Consider the following 18,101-nt stretch of genomic DNA (forward strand, 5'->3'; position numbering starts at 1 on the left):
TTGATAAATACTAAAATAACCGTAAAGAGTATACTACTCTTTTTAAACTTATTTTGATAGAGCAACATACCAAGCAGATTTGGCGTGATTCGTTTACTGTGTGATACTGTTTTTCTGCAGGTTTGCAGTTTTGATAACTGAAGTCTGTACTTCTCATATATTTCCAAGTTCCACAATTGCCTTAGAATTGTTCAGATATCTTATAATTGCCATTACGTGGTGTTTCTGTTTTCATTTATTTTAGTATTTAAAGAACTTCTAACAAGATTGTCAGAAGAGAAAAGAAATGGTGCCCCCCACCTTCCTAAAATTGGTGACATTAAAAAGGCCAGTCGCTACTCCATTCCAGATCTTGCTGTAGATGTAGAACAGGTGATAGGACTTGAAAAAGTGAACAAAAAAAGTAAAGCCAACACTGTGGGAGGAAGGAACAAGCTGAAAAAGATACTCGACAAGACTCGGATCAGTATCTTGCCACAGAAACCATACAAGTAAGCATCTGCATATGTCTTCTGTGCATTATTTTATTTTGTTAAAATGATATGCAAAGATAGTGATGTAATTAATGTTTGCATGAGTCTGAAAACTGTTCTAGGTTTTTATGACTGAGCTATTTTGGAAGCAGTATTAAACAATCAAATTTGTTTTAATCTCGTTTTTGCCACTTATTTGGCTACTCCCAATCTTCTTTAAAGATAGTTTAGCATTTCCTCATTTGAACTATTTTTTGGGGGTTTGGACTTTTTAGTTTATTTTTTAATTTTTATTTATTTATTTATTTATTTATTTTGAGAAAGAGTCTCACTCTTATTGCCCAGGCTGGAGTGCAGTGGCGCGATCTCGGCTCACTGCAACCTGTGCCGCCCAGGTTCAAGTGATTCTCCTGCTTCAGTCTCCCGAGTAGCTGGGATTACAGATGCCTGCCACTGCACCCGGCTAATTTTTGTATTTTTAGTAGAGACGGGGTTTCACCATCTTGGCCAGGCTGGTCTTGAACTCCTGACCTCGTGATCCACCCGCCTCGGCCTCCCAAAGTGCTGGGATTGCAGGTGTGAGCCACTGCACCCAGCCGCAGGTTTGGACTTTTTAAAAGCGTGTGTTTGCCTCCTGTCTCCTCCATCATGATTTAGAGTTGCTTTTTCTACTGTATTTTGTTTCTGGGTATCTTCTTTACCAACAGCATGTGCTCTTTACCAGTCAAATCATTGCTTTATCCAGTTGCCATTATTCATCCCTATCATTCTCTGTTTTCCCCTCTCTCTTCTATTTTCAGTTATTTAATTACTGTCAAGGCATCAACAGCCAAGCACAGAACTCCTTTCATTTTTCCCAGTCAACTTAGTAGTCAGAATGTCAGGTGTATTCTTGAATTTCTTCTTGGTTATTTATTTATGCCAGGAGCTCAGCCAGGCTAGACAAAATTGCAGGTATTTCTGATGCTTTTTAAGCTTGCTTCTTTGCTTGCTTGCTTCTTCATTTTAGTTCCTTCTTGAGTCTAGGAATGTTTTATAAAACTTGATTACTGTCAGCCATTTCTCACTGTGCCACATTTAGTTATATAGTCCCCAAACTACAATGTTAGATAATAACTTTAAAACATATAATTTCGTGCTTTGATAATTTAATGGGTCTAAAGACATGCAGTAGATATGCAGGACTATATCAAACACTTCTTTTTCTTTTTTAAAAAAATTCCGTTTCAGATCTTTTTTAAGAAAACTCCATTTCAGATAAAATTTTCATCCACAGATTAGAGAAATGTGATTTAAAATATACTATTGATTGGTTGAGTTGTCCCAATTAAACTATAGAGTAATGATTGGTGGTTTTGTATCAGCAGTCTTCTATAGCAGAGTCCTAAGGATAAGCAGTGAGTAGTATTTATAGGCTCAAGAGGATATATTGAGTAAGTTTCTAAGAGACAATGGATTAGGGCACCTGGCATTTACAGAAAATACGAATCAATTTTTAAAATAACCTTCGTTGATGAAAACCTTATTTTTAAATGGATGAAAAAATAAATTACCTAAATGCAGATTTTTTAAATTAATTTATTTTTTTGAGACAGAGGCTCGCTCTGTCAGCCAGGCTGGAGTGCAATTGCTGTGATCTGCTCACTGCAACCTTCACCTCCTGAGCTCAAGCAATTCTCATTCCTTAGCCTCCTGAGTAGCTGGGATTACAGGTGTGCACCACCATGCTCGGCTAATTTTTTTTATTTTTAGTAGAGACAAGATTTTGCTGTTTGGCCAGGCTGGTCTCGATCTCCTGTCCTCAAATGATCCACCCACCTGGGCTTCTCAAAGTGCTGGGATTACAGGCATGAGCCACCACACCCAGTCCTAAATGCAGAATTATTAACAGCACAATAACAAAAAAAGATCTTAGAGTCATATTTGACCATGAGTTAAATAAGAACCTTTAAAAAAAAGTTCATATGACCTTGGCAAGTATAAATAGAAATGTGACATGTAAGAACTGGGAGATAATCCATCAGCAATACTGGATGTTGGAAAGGAACACAATATGAGAATACCATGTCTAATTTTGTTCTATGTGTATTTAGAAATACTCAAAAGCTAGACAAGGGAAAAGAAAAAGAATGATTAGATGTGTTGATTTTAAAACACTGAGGAAACATCTTAAATAATTTGTATTTAGGAAAATATATGGCTCATTTAAAGATTTATCATGAAAATTATTTGAAATCATATGTGTAATGCAATTGAAAAGAAAAAATAATTAAAGGAAGTTTCACAAAGCTGTAGGATCTATCATATTGGTAACAGACTTGATTTATACTATACTAGCTATTAAATTTTTCTATAAATTATCATTTGTGTATGAAGATTTTTTTTTTGACAAAGCTACTAAACTAGCAATTAGAGAAGTCTAGATAGAGTATACTGTTGAGTTTTTTCCTCAAACTTTATCAGCCTTAGAGAAGCTAAGATGCTAGATAATGGTAAATTGGCAAGGTAGGCACAATCGGGTGATGTGCATAGAGAGGAAGGAGAAGATGGGGCATGAGCTCCCAGAATTCAGATTTGGTTGCCAAGTAAGTAGAAAAAGACTAATGAACCCAGAGACAAGAAGGAGTAAGTCAGCACACTATAAAACCAGTGCAGATCGAAAGACAATTTCAGTAACAAGGAAAGTGTTGGAGAGGTAGAATCCTAAGAGGATGTGCCCAGAGAGGGACATTTCTGAATTAGGTCTTGGATATAAAATAGTTTCAATCCAAGAGTGGCCGCATGTCTGGATGACAGAGATGTAGGTGAGTAATGAGGAAACTGAGAGTAGAAAGGCAGTTCATCATGTAAGGTGTTAAAGTGTTGCGGAGAAACGGTTCTTAAAGGTTGAGTGCGCGGTGGCTCACGCTTGTAATCCCAGCACTTTGGGAGGCCGAGGCGGTCGGATCACGAGGTCAGGAGATCGAGACCACGGTGAAACCCCGTCTCTACTAAAAATACAAAACATTAGCCGGGCATGGTGGCGGACGTCTGTAGTCCCAGCTACTCGGAGAGGCTGAGGCAGGAGAATGGCGTGAACCCGGGAGGCGGAGCTTGCAGTGAGCCGAGATTGTGCCACTGCATTACAGCCTGGGTGACAGAGGGAGACTCCGTCTCAAAAAAAAAAAAAAAAAAAAAAAAGGTTGAGTGTGCCTGCAAGATGCTAATATTTGTAGCCTTTTGTGCCGGAGTGGCCAAGCCAGCTATGCTTTGTCCTGAGCCCATAGTAATGATCTCGTGTCATGTATTACATAGCAGGTTTTTGGCAGAGACTGCTTTATATGGTTGAAAAATAAAATTCCACTAACGTAAAAGTTTTCATCTTTTACAGAATATTAACACTTTTAGTCTTTATGCCGGTTATATGATTAAATAGAAATTTAATTTTGTCCCGGACTGACCTATGAATTTGAAATAATTCACACTGAAATTGTCTTTATTTTTTTTTTTTAATTTTTATTTCAGTAGCTTTTGGGGTACACGTGGTTTTTTGTTACATGGGTGAATTATATAGTGGTGGTGAATTCTGGGATTTTAGTGCACCCATCACCCAAGTAGTATACATTGTACCTAATGTGTAACTTTGTTTAATCCCTGGCCCTAACCTCACCCTTCCCCTTCTGAGTCTCCAAAGTCCATTGTATCACTCAGTATGCCTTTGCCTACTCATAGCTTAGCTCCCACTTATAAGTGAGAACATAGGGATTTTGGTTTTCCACCATTATATCACTTAGAATAATGACCAACAGCTCCATCCAAGTTGCTGCAAAAGACATTATTTTGTTCCTTTTTATGGCTGAGTAATATTCTGTGGTGTAGCTATAAACACATTTTCTTTATCCACTCATTAGTCGATGTGCACTTAGGTTGCTTCCATGTTTTTGCAGTTGTGAATTGTGCTGCTCTAAACAAAACGTGTGCAAGTGTCTTTTTCGTATAATGTGAAATTGTCTCTAGTTTTAATTTTTGTCTTTAAAAAATGTTTTTGCCCTTATTTACCTTTATAATTTCCATTTTCAAAAAAAAAAGTAAAGGGAAGAAATGTTGCTATTTTTTAGCATAGTCATTAAAAATAGTAGTTATTATGATCAAGCCCCAATGTGTGAAAAGACTAATAAATGCTAAATTTCTTCATTTTATTTATGACACCTTAGTTTATATTCCAACTTTAATATAATTTTCCTCTTATTTCAAGGTGTGTATAGAAACTAGTCTGAGCTATAACCATTTTCTTGCGACCCCAGTTATTTCTGTGTGTGTTTGCTTATTGCTTTATTTGAGTTTTTGTTTTGGAAACAGTTGACCCTTCAAATCTAGAAATAGTTTTTACATATTATTAAATCATGTTTCAAGAGTTCACAGTAACAGGCTTTTTATAAATGGAAATGAGTTTGTCACTGTCGATAATAACCAGTATTTCTCTGGATACTTAAATGTGTAGCTAGAAATTTTGATCAGAGAATTAAAAGTGAGTCATTGGATTTCTGTTGGCTTTTCTTTGATGCTAGGAAATGTCACCATGCACCACTGTTTTTTTATGCTCTGTATAATCAAGAAATAATGTCTGTGTCAGTCTCCTTACATTTGACTCCATAGTGATCTCATTTTTTCTCTAAAACATCGAGAATAAAATTAGGACACTTTGGATTTTTTTCCTCCTGTTTTCATTTTACCCAATTTCTTCAACTATTGAAGGTCAGATTATAAAATAATTTATCATTCTGATGCAGAACTATCAGTTGAGTGAGTTAAATGTATTCTTTTTAATGTGCTTTTTTTAAAATCCATTTCCATCAGAAACTAGAGCTTATTTTTTTTTAAATATATTTCTGTGCTGAGAAACTACTAATATTTTTTATGGCTTATCTACTTAGAAAAACCATAGGTTTGGCCGGGCGTGGTGGCTCACGCCTGTAATCCTAGCACTTTGGGAGGCCAAGACAGGCGGATCACAAGGTCAGGAGATCGAGACCATCCTGGCTAACATGGTGAAACCCCATCTCTACTCAAAATACAAAAAAATTAGCCGGGCATGGTGGCGGACGCCTGTAGTCCCAGCTACTCAGGAGGCTGAGGCAGGAGAATGGCATGAACCTGGGAGATGGAGCTTGCAGTGAGCCGAGATCACACCACTGCACTCCAGCCTGGGTGACAGAGTGAGACTCCATCTCAAAAAAAAAAAAAAAAAAAAAAAAGAAAGAAAAACCATAGGTTTTAGAGAAACATACTATACACTTAAGAAACAGCAAAATGAGGCTGGGTGCTGTGACTCATGCCTGTAATCCTAGCACTTTGGGAGGCCACAGCAGGAGGATCACTTGAGGCCAAGAGTTTCAAGCCCAGCTTGAGCAACAAAGCAAGATGCTATATCTAAAAACAAACAAACAAAAACAAAAAACAAAAACAGGAAAATGAGTTGGATACACTTAAGCAGTAGTTGCTTTTGCAGTTTTCAACCAAATTTATTAATGGTGTTTTTACATGAGCTGCAAAAAAAAAATGGAATATGGTTTTTGGTCTGTGTTTATTATATAGTGATGATGTACAACTTTTTAACTTGTTGATAATTTTCTAATTTTCCTCTTTGTTCAGTGATATTGGGATTGGTCAGTCTCAAGATGACAGCATAGTAGGATTAAGGCAGACAAAGCACATCCCAACTGCATTGCCTGTCAGTGGAACCTTATCATCCAGTAATCCTGATTTATTGCAGTCACATCATCGCATTTTAGACTTCAGTGCTACTCCTGGTGAGTATCACCAACACTTCTTTTGTTTTCTTATAGTTATCTTTTTATTTCTAACATAATGGTCATATTATATGTATCTCTCTTCATTTGGCATGGATTATATCAGATGCTGAGTAAGGATGAAACTTAAACTTTAAGATTTTTGAAATCAGGTGTTGGAACCAGTTCTCTTTACATTCAGCAGAGTATTTTTATATGGCCATAGGCAAATTATCTGTCTGAACTTGTTTCTTCTTTCATAAAATGAAGATAACACATCCCATGCCATGATTACTAAATCATATCAAATAGATAGAGTAAGAGGCATATTTTAGGTCTAATTAATGGACTTTTCAATACAGTAAAGATTAACTCTGGATTTAAATTTTATTTCTTTGATGCCAGCATGACAGTCTTGAGTGCTACTGTTGTGTACTGATGTGCTTGCAGCTGTCTGTAGTTCAATCTGTTATCTTTTAGGGAAAGGTATGTTCTTGCAGCAAAACAGCATGTAGATTGATTCTTTGAGGAAGACCTAGAGTAAGGGAGAGGTAAAAGTTCAGCATTGCTTTTTCTTAAGGAGCTTTTTTCTGATTACTTTGCTTAATTGCATTGCCATATATTAAAATTCTTTCTACTTATGTGTGTGATTTTTCTTTCCCCCAGACTTGCCAGATCAAGTGCTAAGGGTTTTTAAGGCTGATCAGCAAAGCCGCTACATCATGATCAGTAAGGACACTACAGCAAAGGAAGTGGTCATTCAGGCTATCAGGGAGTTTGCTGTTACTGCCACCCCGGATCAATATTCACTATGTGAGGTCTCTGTCACACCTGAGGGAGTAATCAAACAAAGAAGACTTCCAGATCAGCTTTCCAAACTTGCAGACAGAATACAACTGAGTGGAAGGTATATATTATCTACCTTACTGGATTTCTTTGTCCCCTCTTCGAACCCACATCAAAGTCTAAGAGATGAGCAATTTTCAAAGTGTTTTTTAAATGAGTAAGTGTCCCTGCGATTAAAAAGTATTGTTGTTGTTTTTTTTTTCCTTTCACCAAGAATTACTGTATGAAAGCAAATGCACACAGTCGACTACTGACCCTAACAAGGATCTCTTAGGAACTTGTTCAAGGCCACTGTGACCTGAAGGTTGTTACTGACTTCCAAAATGCGTGCTGTAACTTCTCATGCTTGCCTTGGGGTCCTGGTTTGGAAGGGTAGAGTATGCTTGATGTAAAGTCACGGGGTTAAACCCTGGTGCTGTCTTCCCTTTGTATATGTACGTTCACAAACACATTTTCTAATCATATTCTAGTGTCATTTGCTCCTGCATACCCAACTTTTCTAGGAGCTTCCTTAGTTTAGGCAGAGACATCTGTGACAATGTGGTTGGCCACTTCTGCCTGTTATTGTACATTATGCTATGAAATACACTTCTTAACGCTGAAACCAGACTTTACTTGCTACAGAGCTTAGTCCTTTGCTGCAGAAGTGCTTATATCACACGTTACTTGCAAGAAAATGTTGTGTCTGATTTTATCATTCTCTTCAATGATATTTTCACTGTTAGGTATATGTAACTTTATCTTCAAGTCACAATAAGTAAGTGCAAGTTGAAAAAGAAAATAGTTGCTTTGGTTCTCATAGTGGCTGGTTGCTACACTCAAAATTAAGTAGTTCCATAAATCATATTTTTTCTATTTTTAACTTACGGAGTGTTTCACTGTATTTGACTTTTTCATGTTATAGATTTAAACCAGGATATAATTCATTGAAACCTTTGATTTTCTTGCCATCAACTATAACTTTCTTATTCCTCTTCACTTTTGTTTTCAAACACTAGCAAATAGTTTTGTTTTAGTAGCTCTGTTTTTTCCACTTATCATTTCAATGCACATTGATATATCTGGAACCACGATAGAGTTTTACAGAGCTCCACTGAGCTATAGATTCATGATTCACATTCATTATTGAAGAAAATTATAGATGGGTATGTCATGGGCTTCATGAGTAATCAAAATGGAGAATGTTAAATCTGTGAAAGTCAAGGGCGCAAAGTATATATTTTCTGTTATATGTGTTTGCCTTGGTGAAATACACAAAAAAAATTTTAGTAGGGCCCCTACTATGCTCATTCTGTTTTGTCATTTATGGAATTTTCACAGAGAAAGCATGTGTCTAAAAAACAAAAACAAAACAAAAAATACCACCACCATCACCACACACACACACACACACACACACACACACACACACACATTTATGGAATTTTCACAGAGAAAGCATGTGTCTAAAAAACAAAAACAAAACAAAAAATACCACCACCATCACCACACACACACACACACACACACACACACACACACGTGTGCGTGCAACAAACATCTTAATGCTATTTTCAACAAATTGCCTAAAAGGAAAAGGGGCTCCAGCCCTGTGTTCCCATTTTGGCACCGGCATTAACTAGTCAACCTTTAGGAGCCTGTTTCCTATTCTGACAAATAAGTATAATACCTACTATCCACTTACCTGTAGAGTTTTTATGAAAATCCAGATTTTTTAAAGTTAACCTGTTGGAGGATTGTTCTATTCATAGGATCAAATAGAGGGAAGTAGCTTAGGGTTTCTTAGGTATTTGAATAAATAAGTCAACCTGGATTGTTACAATTTGGGCCCATCAATAATCACAGATTATTGATAAGAAAATAAGAAAATAAGGAAAATAAGAGTGATGACGTACTTGGGTCTAATCTTTCCTGCTTCCTGCCTTAGGGCCTAGTCCCTTTTTAAACTAAAAATGTGGATATTTTCTGTTATTTTTAACAAAAAGGGTAAAATACTTCAGAAATCAGGAAAAGAAAGGATAGAAAGTGCAACTAGTGCGAGTGAAATTCCATGTGATTTGTTTGTTTCTACCACCTACTTCTGGATAGACAGTTCTATGACCAGGTAACTGAGATAGCAGCTGTGCTGTCTGTCTTGGTTAAAAAGAAATCTTCCATAATTCAAATCAGTGCTCTCTCAAACTTTCCATAAAAAGTAGCATTATTCTTTCAAGGAATATCATGAGATTGCTGCTTAGGCTTTGACTCTGATATGTTTCTGTTTTTCATAGGTATTATCTGAAAAACAACATGGAAACAGAAACTCTTTGTTCAGATGAAGATGCTCAGGAGTTGTTGAGAGAGAGTCAAATTTCCCTCCTTCAGCTCAGCACTGTGGAAGTTGCAACACAGCTCTCTATGCGAAATTTTGAACTCTTTCGCAACATTGAACCTACTGAATATATAGATGATTTATTTAAACTCAGATCAAAAACCAGCTGTGCCAACCTGAAGAGATTTGAAGAAGTCATTAACCAGGAAACATTTTGGGTAGCATCTGAAATTCTCAGAGAAACAAACCAGCTGAAGAGGATGAAGATCATTAAGCATTTCATCAAGATAGCACTGCACTGTAGGGAATGCAAGAATTTTAACTCAATGTTTGCAATCATCAGGTAAGAGAGCACATTTTTTCTTAAGATTCAGTTCAGTTCACAGATTTAAAATATGTATCAGTCCAGGAACATCATATAATTAGTATAAATGCTATAGGTTTTAATTGACTCATAAGAGACAATTCTTTTTCTCTGAATCCTAACCTTAATCCTTAATTTAAAATCTCTCGTATCAAAAAAACAGCTGTGCCAACCTGAAGAGATTTGAAGAAGCCATTAAGCAGGAAACATTTTGGTAGCATCTGAAGTTCTGATTTGGAGCTCAGAAAATCTATATCCCCCACTTTTTTTTTAAGTTTGTTTCAACTTTTCTCAATATCAGTTTATTTTTCTGTGGAAATAACAATACCGCAAAGAGTTATCAACAAGATTAATGATGTAATGTGTGTGGAGTTCCATCAAATAGCACAAAGCAGATGGCCGGGAAATGTTAATTTTCTTCCCTTTTTTTAAGAGCTTAGATTGAGGTTAGAAGAAAAAAAAATGGCAACAATTAGTTATATTGATGTTGAGGGTGATTATTAAATTAGTCATTTTCTCTGTCTGGGAGTTTAGTCATACTCTCATTACTATCATAGCTTTTATTTTATTTTATTTTATTTTATATTATTTTATTTTATTTTATTTTATTTTATTTTATTTTATTTTATTTTATTTTATTTTATTTTATTACTAGAGGATATTTGCTCAGTCGGTTTTATCAAATGGCCGCTATGGGCTAAGCACTGCTATGTGTACATACTGCTGTGTATGGAAACAAAGCATCAATACTTACATTCAGGTGGTTTTACTGATAGTAAACAGATGAGGTAGGTCTATACGGAAGAGAAGAGTAAAACGCCTTGGCTTGACCCTGACCCTACTTCCCTGTGCCATCTCATTCCCCAGAATTATCATGAACAGTTTCTTATGCAGCCTTCTGTAAATTGTTATGCATATAAAGCATAAACATAGAGATGTTATATGTCAATAAATAATCTGTACACTATTTTACTTTAGTTGTTATACCATGTTTCTTTTTCTCCTCTCAGTGGCCTAAACCTGGCACCAGTGGCAAGACTGCGAACGACCTGGGAGAAACTTCCCAATAAATACGAAAAACTATTTCAAGATCTCCAAGACCTGTTTGATCCTTCCAGAAACATGGCAAAATATCGTAATGTTCTCAATAGTCAAAATCTACAACCTCCCATAATCCCTCTATTCCCAGTTATCAAAAAGGATCTCACCTTCCTTCACGAAGGTAAACATAAGGCAGAGGGTTTCCATCTTTGCTTGAAGAAGCACAGAATAAATGCCATGTGATTTCCTTTTCCTCCTCTGTCAATTTCAGGAAATGACTCAAAAGTAGACGGGCTGGTCAATTTTGAGAAGCTAAGGATGATTGCAAAAGAAATTCGTCACGTTGGCCGAATGGCTTCAGTGAACATGGACCCTGCCCTCATGTTCAGGACTCGGTGAGTATGTCATCTTCAGTGGCACGTGTGAGAGTAGAGAAGGTTAAATTTAGAGCTTCCCAATAAATGATTTTTTTAAAGTTTGAGTATTTATATTTGTAGTACGGCAGAAATTATAGTAGGATGTGCTGAGAATCACCTGTGAGCTCTAATTTGGAATAAATGTCTTATTCTGTATAAAGTGTTCTTTCGGCTGTCAGTAAAAACAGTTTGTCTTTCAGACATTTTCAATGTAATAGACACAATTATGTGTTTCTTATTTCTCAGAACACTGACTTGTAGAGCTAAAACTCATAGCTAGTAGTATGCACTAAAATATGTAAATACCCCAAATAGTCTTGTCTCAATATCCACACAACAAATTTAGCTAGCAGTGTAGTAAAAAGTGATTAATTCAGTGAAAGAGAGAAAAGTCAGTCTTAATTCTAGAACAAAAAATTTAAATGTATGTGTCTTTTAAGCCAGAAAAATATTTCTAGTAAAGTTGCGTGTGTGAGGTGATTATGCAGTTTAATGTTTGTGGGCTTCTAGAACTGCTTATCCAGAAGTCTAGTCCTTTCTTTCTGAGCTTGTGATCTTTCTGTCTCTCTTTCTACACCCATGCTTCAATCTCCATGGCTCTCACTTACAGGAAGAAGAAATGGCGGAGTTTGGGGTAAGTGGTGGAGACCTTGCATACCCACACACAGTTCTTATTCTGCTCATTGCATTGTTTTCTTACCTGCTGTATTTTCTGATGCTTTGCATTTTTGCATTTTTTTCCTTAACCCTCGTGCTGTAGCAGAATTTCAGATGGCAAATTGACTTCAAGTTTAATCTGTTGGGGCTTTTGCTTTTGAAGTCATGATCCATGAGAGCTGTGAAATGATTGATGATTGTTCTGGGGAACTACAGGCCAGTTTTTCTGAGCTCTTAGAAAAATTTTATTTTCATATAATTGGTGTGTCTCGAAATGCAGAAAGCTCAAAGTAGGGGGAGGGGAGGAAGGATATTAGAAGGGAAAAGTTGTGCAATTAAAATATTTCACAGATATGTGAGAAATAAATATATTTAATATAAAATAGGTGCCCCCAGGTGTTAAACCCAAATTTTTTACAGCTCAACTAACTACTATTTTCATTCTGTATAAACCAATCCTTTTTAAAAATAATTCTTAACAATTCATGTGCTCAATGGTTTCCATACATATATGTTTACATTTGCATGATTGTTTTATTAACAGATTGACCGTATTACTTTAAAAACTCACCACATTCAACTCAAGGCATAAGAAGACAATTTTGAACATTGTAGCTAATTTTATTTAAATTTATGTATAATATCCTCTTTAGGAGAAGTAATTTTAATGTTGCAAATCTTAATGATTATAGCTGTGTATTCTTGCATGAGCTTTTACATGTAATTATTGTTTTCTGGCACCTGTGAGAGAACTGCCTTAAATGCTCTATAGAGTGAAAAGTAGAATTTCCTAGTTGGAACTGAACAGGTGCCAAACATAAATTTTTATATGTATATTATGTGTAATTTTCTTTAAATTTTTAAAATCTGTATTATTCTATATTCCTGTGTAACAGTTTACTCACTGGAATGAGGCATGTGACCTTTTGAACATAGACTATTAATATCAGTCTTGGCACATTTTAAATAGATAAAGTACTCCCATGCTAGAGTGAGCTGCATATGTACCTTTTCATCTTCCAGGTCTCTCAGCCAGGGTAGTACAAATGCAACAGTGCTAGATGTTGCTCAGACAGGTGGTCATAAAAAGCGGGTACGTCGTAGTTCCTTTCTCAATGCCAAAAAGCTTTATGAAGATGCCCAAATGGCTCGAAAAGTGAAGCAGTACCTTTCCAATTTGGAGCTAGAAATGGACGAGGAGAGTCTTCAGACATTATCTCTGCAGTGTGAGCCAGCAACCAACACATGTGAGTTTTTCCTTAAAGTGGCTGCAGACTTTGGCTAGGATGCAGATTTGTTTCCTGTGCAGTGGTATGGGCAGTGACAAAATAAGGCTTAGTGCAGAGGGGGAGCTAGCAATCCTGAGATATACTAGTCTTTTCCTTGAATGCTAATATTTAATACTGGGTAGCACTGTGCACGGCCAGGCCGTCATGTCAACTGGGTTAGTATGTGGAAGATGACACTGTCCACATCTAAGGCAACCCATTACTTTAGTTTCACCTGGACACAACCAGTACACATGCAACAGACGCATATATAGATATGGCTCCCATTTACATGTCTTACGTTCTCACAAAGCTACCCCCAAAGTATGGGCAACCTGAGGGGAGTCAGGGCATAAAATTGGGTGTGCTGGCTGCCTTTTAACCACTAGCCCAGACAACACCGAACAACAAATTCAGCTACCAGTTAGTTAGAGCAATGATTCTGCTCCACAGTGAACCACAATAGCCTTTAAAAATCTGGTTAATCTATAAATGGGGCAGTTTTTTTTTTTTTCTAAATCTGCATCTTGACTTAAAAGACAAAGGCATTTTCCATTCAGTACACACCTGTGTCTTTTATGGGCAGGTTTGAAGATGTCTTCTGTAGGATTTAATTTAGATAGGTGATTTGAGAAGATTTGGATTATTAGATTTACCCAGGATGCTGTAGAAGCACTGTGTCATGGTGAAGAGCTTGTCCTCTGGAGTCAGAGTGGTCTGAGTTCAAATCCTGTTTGTCTCCTCTTACTAGCTGCAGCCTTAGGCAACTTACTTGACCTCCCTAATCCTTAGTTTCCAGGCGTGTAAAAGGGAGGAAGCATACATATGTCATTGAGTTTTTAATATTAAAATGCTACATATACAACATTTTATTGTCCTAAATTGCTTTGCCATTTATCTACCACAAAATATATACTCAGTATGATACTGAAGCATTATTGGCTACTGTTTGCTTGCATAGATAATTCTACCTCCTAGGAATATGGTAGTAAATAGATTGCAGTTGACAGCATTTATTAAATAAAAACTTAGCACATACATGTCAAACAATTTGGGACACCGTTTTAGAAAAATAGTGCCTGATGACTTTTCTGTTGTAGCTTTTATCACGTATTTGTTTCTTTCATATACATGGATATAACATATTGAACTACCCACATTTTTCTATATTTTTAATGGGGTGTTTAATAGTACAATCATCTTTTGAGATTGCTGACTTCATAAAGTAGATACCTTTGTCCTGCCACATATCTAATATTTTCTGTAACTAGGGTCCCCCATCCATTTTCTGTGCTTCATAAAGGCAACAGGAAGAAAGGTGTGCATTAATTTAGTATTCTAACTGCAGAAAATGCTCACACAGTTCTAGAATTATCTTCTACATACCTACTAGCATCTAAAATTCTTTGTTCTATTTTCAAACCCAAACAATTATCAGTGCCTAAGAATCCTGGTGACAAAAAGCCTGTCAAATCCGAGACCTCTCCAGTAGCTCCAAGGGCAGGGTCACAACAGAAAGCTCAGTCCCTGCCACAGCCCCAGCAGCAGCCACCACCAGCACATAAAATCAACCAGGGACTACAGGTTCCCGCCGTGTCCCTTTATCCTTCACGGAAGAAAGTGCCCGTAAAGGATCTCCCACCTTTTGGTAAGTGATTACATTCATTTCTTTTTTTGGTGCCATTCACTGTCATGGTTTGCAAATTAGGAAAAAAATATTTGTCTTGGATAACTTTGTCTAATATATTTGAGTTTCTCTGTAATTATTAGCTCCTAATAAAACATGAACACTCAGCAAGTTAAACCTGACTTTGCCAATGGAAGGGGTTGTTTTTATAAGTAATATCTCGTTTAGTCATGCTAATTTGCTACGACAGGGTGTTAATAGAGAAGTTATGTGTCTATTAATTTAATTTTTGCTAAGCGCAGAAGATGCTTTGTTCATTTACATTATTTAAACTGGTTTTGCTTTACAACCAACAAACTGCTGGGATTTAAGCAGAATATTTTTAAGTTAAATGAATTGTCTGAAGGTAAATTCTTATTTGTTGACTCACTGATTCTATAACTTAGAGGGAAAAATAAAACAACTAACTCCTGAATATGAAGGAGCTAAATTACACTTCATCTTTCCTACTAAAAGAAAAACATCAGCCAGGCACGGTGGCTCACGCCTGTAATCCCAGCACTTTGGGAGGCTGAGGCGGGCAGATCACGAGGTCAGGAGATCCAGACCATCCTGGCTAACACGGTGAAACCCTGTCTCTACTAAAAATAGAAAAAATTAGCCGGGCGTGGTGGCGGGCGCCTGTAGTCCCAGCTACTCGGGAGGCCGAGGCAGGAGAATGGCGTGAACCCGGGAGGGGGAGCTTGCAGTGAGCCTAGATCGCACCGCTGCACTCCTCCAGCCTGGGCGAAAGAGCGAGACTGTCTCAAAAAGAAAAAGAAGAACATCTAGTAGTTTAGCCCCTTTGTGGAAGTGGTACAACACAATAATTTTTCATAAAATGTACACCTTCTTTTTTTTCTACGTATATGTGAATGAAACAGTTAATAAAAAACAAATTATTAAAAATAAAGGGATAGTAGGCTGGGTGCAGTGTCTCATGCCTGTAATCCCAGCACTTCAGGAGGCTGAGACGGGTGAATCACTCGAGGCCAGGAGTTGGAGACCAGCTTGCCCAACATGGGGAAACCCCATCTTTACGAAAAATACAAAACTTAGCCTGGCGTGATGGCGCATGCCTGCAGTCCTAGCTACCTGGGAAGCTGAGGCACAAGAATCGCTTCAACCTGGGGGGTGGAAATTGTAATAAGCCGGGATTGCATCACTGCACTCCAGCCTGGGCGACAGAGCAAGACTCTGTCGATAGATAGATAGATAGATAGATAGATGGATGGATGGATGGATGGATGGATGGATGGATGGATGGATAGATAGATAAAGATATAGAGAGATAGATAGCAAAGAGTTTACTTAGATAAAATTGGGTGTTGATAACTAAGTCCCTGCACAGTTACAGCCCATCTGTATGGCTTGGGTGAGAGTCATTTCGTAGACCCCTCACGTACTCTGTATCCTCACCTCATTCCATCTGATCAGCAAGTGTCCTCTTTATTGATATGGGGAGAGAATAAGAAAAGAACACCTTTCCTAGGTACATTTCTCCTTTCAAATATTTGTGTTGATCCTCTCATCACAAACACATTGAATTATGTGTTTCTTTATATATTACGTTTTGAATATGCATGCATTCCTGAATCCCCTGCAGTCTGTATCGTCTTTATGCAGAACTTCTCATATGGAAGATTATCAGTCTTCACTTTAGCTAAAAATGCCTATTAGCCATATTTAATATAATGTAGATGTCTCTGAGTATAAAGCTCTATCCCCCATGTTTCTGAAGCCATAGCTCTCAAAATGTCTTTAGTTCCATTTATGAACTTTAGAAATGTGGATGAAATATTATATGTTGTCTTATATTTATTTAGTTTAACATACACATTTAAAGTCACAGTATATAAAATACTAATTTAGAGACACTACAGGTGTTCCCCCCACTCCAGTCCATAAAATAGTTTTGTTCTATATACTTTCTACATCTTTAACATTGGTGTCTTTGTCATCACTAGCACCACTTTTGAAGTATCTCACACAGCTTTCTCAGGCATAATATCTTCACATCCATCCAACATGGTTTGAAAGGTAGTACTTTTTAAATCTGTGTATGATGCTGGCCTTGGAAATTTTTTCCAGATCAAAACTACCCATTCAATTAGCTTTATTTCCTGTGTATATGATTTCTACATGTAATCAAACTATTGCTTTAAAAGGTTTTTTTAAAAAAGATTGTATTAAAACAATATCAGACTGCTTACATGAAGTGAAATGAAGGATTAAATCTTTGTTAAATTTTACTAACACTAATTTGAGGTAGTTTCAGGCTGTAGTGCCTTCCCAAATATCTCTTTGTTGTTCAAAATAAAATTGAGAGTGCCTCATAATAATATGAGAGGCTTTGTAAAATATTTCAGTGTAACTTCCTCATTTATGAAAAATAATTTTGAGGAGGGAAATCATCTTACATTGACATGTAGAATAATTTTTCCTCCACTCTCATCCTGTTGGATCCTGCACGTGGTGCTGGCTCACTTCCTTCTTCTGAAACCTTCCTCCAAGGTTTTGTGACACAGCACTTTCATGGTCTCTTCCGCCCTTCTCTTTCATCTGTTTACTTGATCAAGTATTAACTGCATGGAATTCCTTAGAGCGCTTTCATTCACTTTCCTAGTTAGCTCCTCTTAGCTCTTGACTCTGTACTCTTCTCCCTTTATTCTCACTTCCCTTGAGCTACCCCTTTCCAAGGATACAAAACAGTTTCCAACTCAAATTTGGTTTCTAATAATAAACATGTCTAGCTGTGCCACTTCCATCCTAAATTCAGTGTTTCCAAATTGTCCATTTTTTCTTCATTGTTGCCTAACATATTGTTGAATAAAGATGGTGACTACTTCAAAGTTTAGAATCTAACGTAAAATATCAAAAGCAATATATTTCTGGTACTGTGGCAGATATCAGTCTGAAACCAAACTACGGGTATCTCATGACTTCTGTAGGCACTTACTGTGTGGACCTTGAAGAGTACAAAGAACATTTAGATTGTAAATAGGTTGAACCTCAGTGTAATGATATTAAATCTTAACACAAAAAAGTTTTTTATTCATAAATGGTGTTTATTTTCAGACTTGAAAATACATATTTAAGGTTTTTTTTTTTCCATTATAGGCATAAACTCTCCACAAGCTTTAAAAAAAATTCTTTCTTTGTCTGAAGAAGGAAGTTTGGAACGTCACAAGAAACAGGCTGAAGATACAATATCAAATGCATCTTCGCAGCTTTCTTCTCCTCCTACTTCTCCACAGAGTTCTCCAAGGAAAGGTAGAATTAAATTACTTT

General features: G+C 36.8%; 1 protein-coding gene across 7 annotated transcripts in view, besides 1 other annotated feature; it reads left to right on the forward strand.

Moving 5' to 3' along the window:
* Window positions 1-18,101, forward strand: part of RAPGEF2 (Rap guanine nucleotide exchange factor 2) — a 257,095-nt gene that overhangs the window by 229,128 nt on the left and 9,866 nt on the right. For all 7 annotated transcript variants that reach the window (NM_001351724.5, NM_001394067.2, NM_001351726.3 and 4 more), the window contains 10 exons: window positions 245-491; window positions 6,105-6,262; window positions 6,908-7,148; window positions 9,358-9,741; window positions 10,773-10,984; window positions 11,075-11,198; window positions 11,830-11,853; window positions 12,900-13,123; window positions 14,583-14,792; window positions 17,931-18,083. In NM_001351724.5, the coding sequence (NP_001338653.1) occupies window positions 245-491; window positions 6,105-6,262; window positions 6,908-7,148; window positions 9,358-9,741; window positions 10,773-10,984; window positions 11,075-11,198; window positions 11,830-11,853; window positions 12,900-13,123; window positions 14,583-14,792; window positions 17,931-18,083 (1,977 nt within the window). The remainder of the gene's footprint in view (window positions 1-244; window positions 492-6,104; window positions 6,263-6,907; window positions 7,149-9,357; window positions 9,742-10,772; window positions 10,985-11,074; window positions 11,199-11,829; window positions 11,854-12,899; window positions 13,124-14,582; window positions 14,793-17,930; window positions 18,084-18,101) is intronic.
* Window positions 9,271-9,565: a silencer, noted in NCBI's record as "tiled region #10828; HepG2 Repressive DNase matched - State 8:EnhW". NCBI's record gives its function as "represses a minimal TATA promoter and a strong SV40 promoter by Sharpr-MPRA in HepG2 cells {active_cell/tissue: HepG2}" and the evidence as "EXISTENCE:reporter gene assay evidence [ECO:0000049][PMID:27701403]".

Source organism: Homo sapiens, chromosome 4 (genome assembly GCF_000001405.40).
Source record: "Homo sapiens chromosome 4, GRCh38.p14 Primary Assembly".
Classification (NCBI taxonomy): Eukaryota; Metazoa; Chordata; class Mammalia; order Primates; family Hominidae; genus Homo; species Homo sapiens.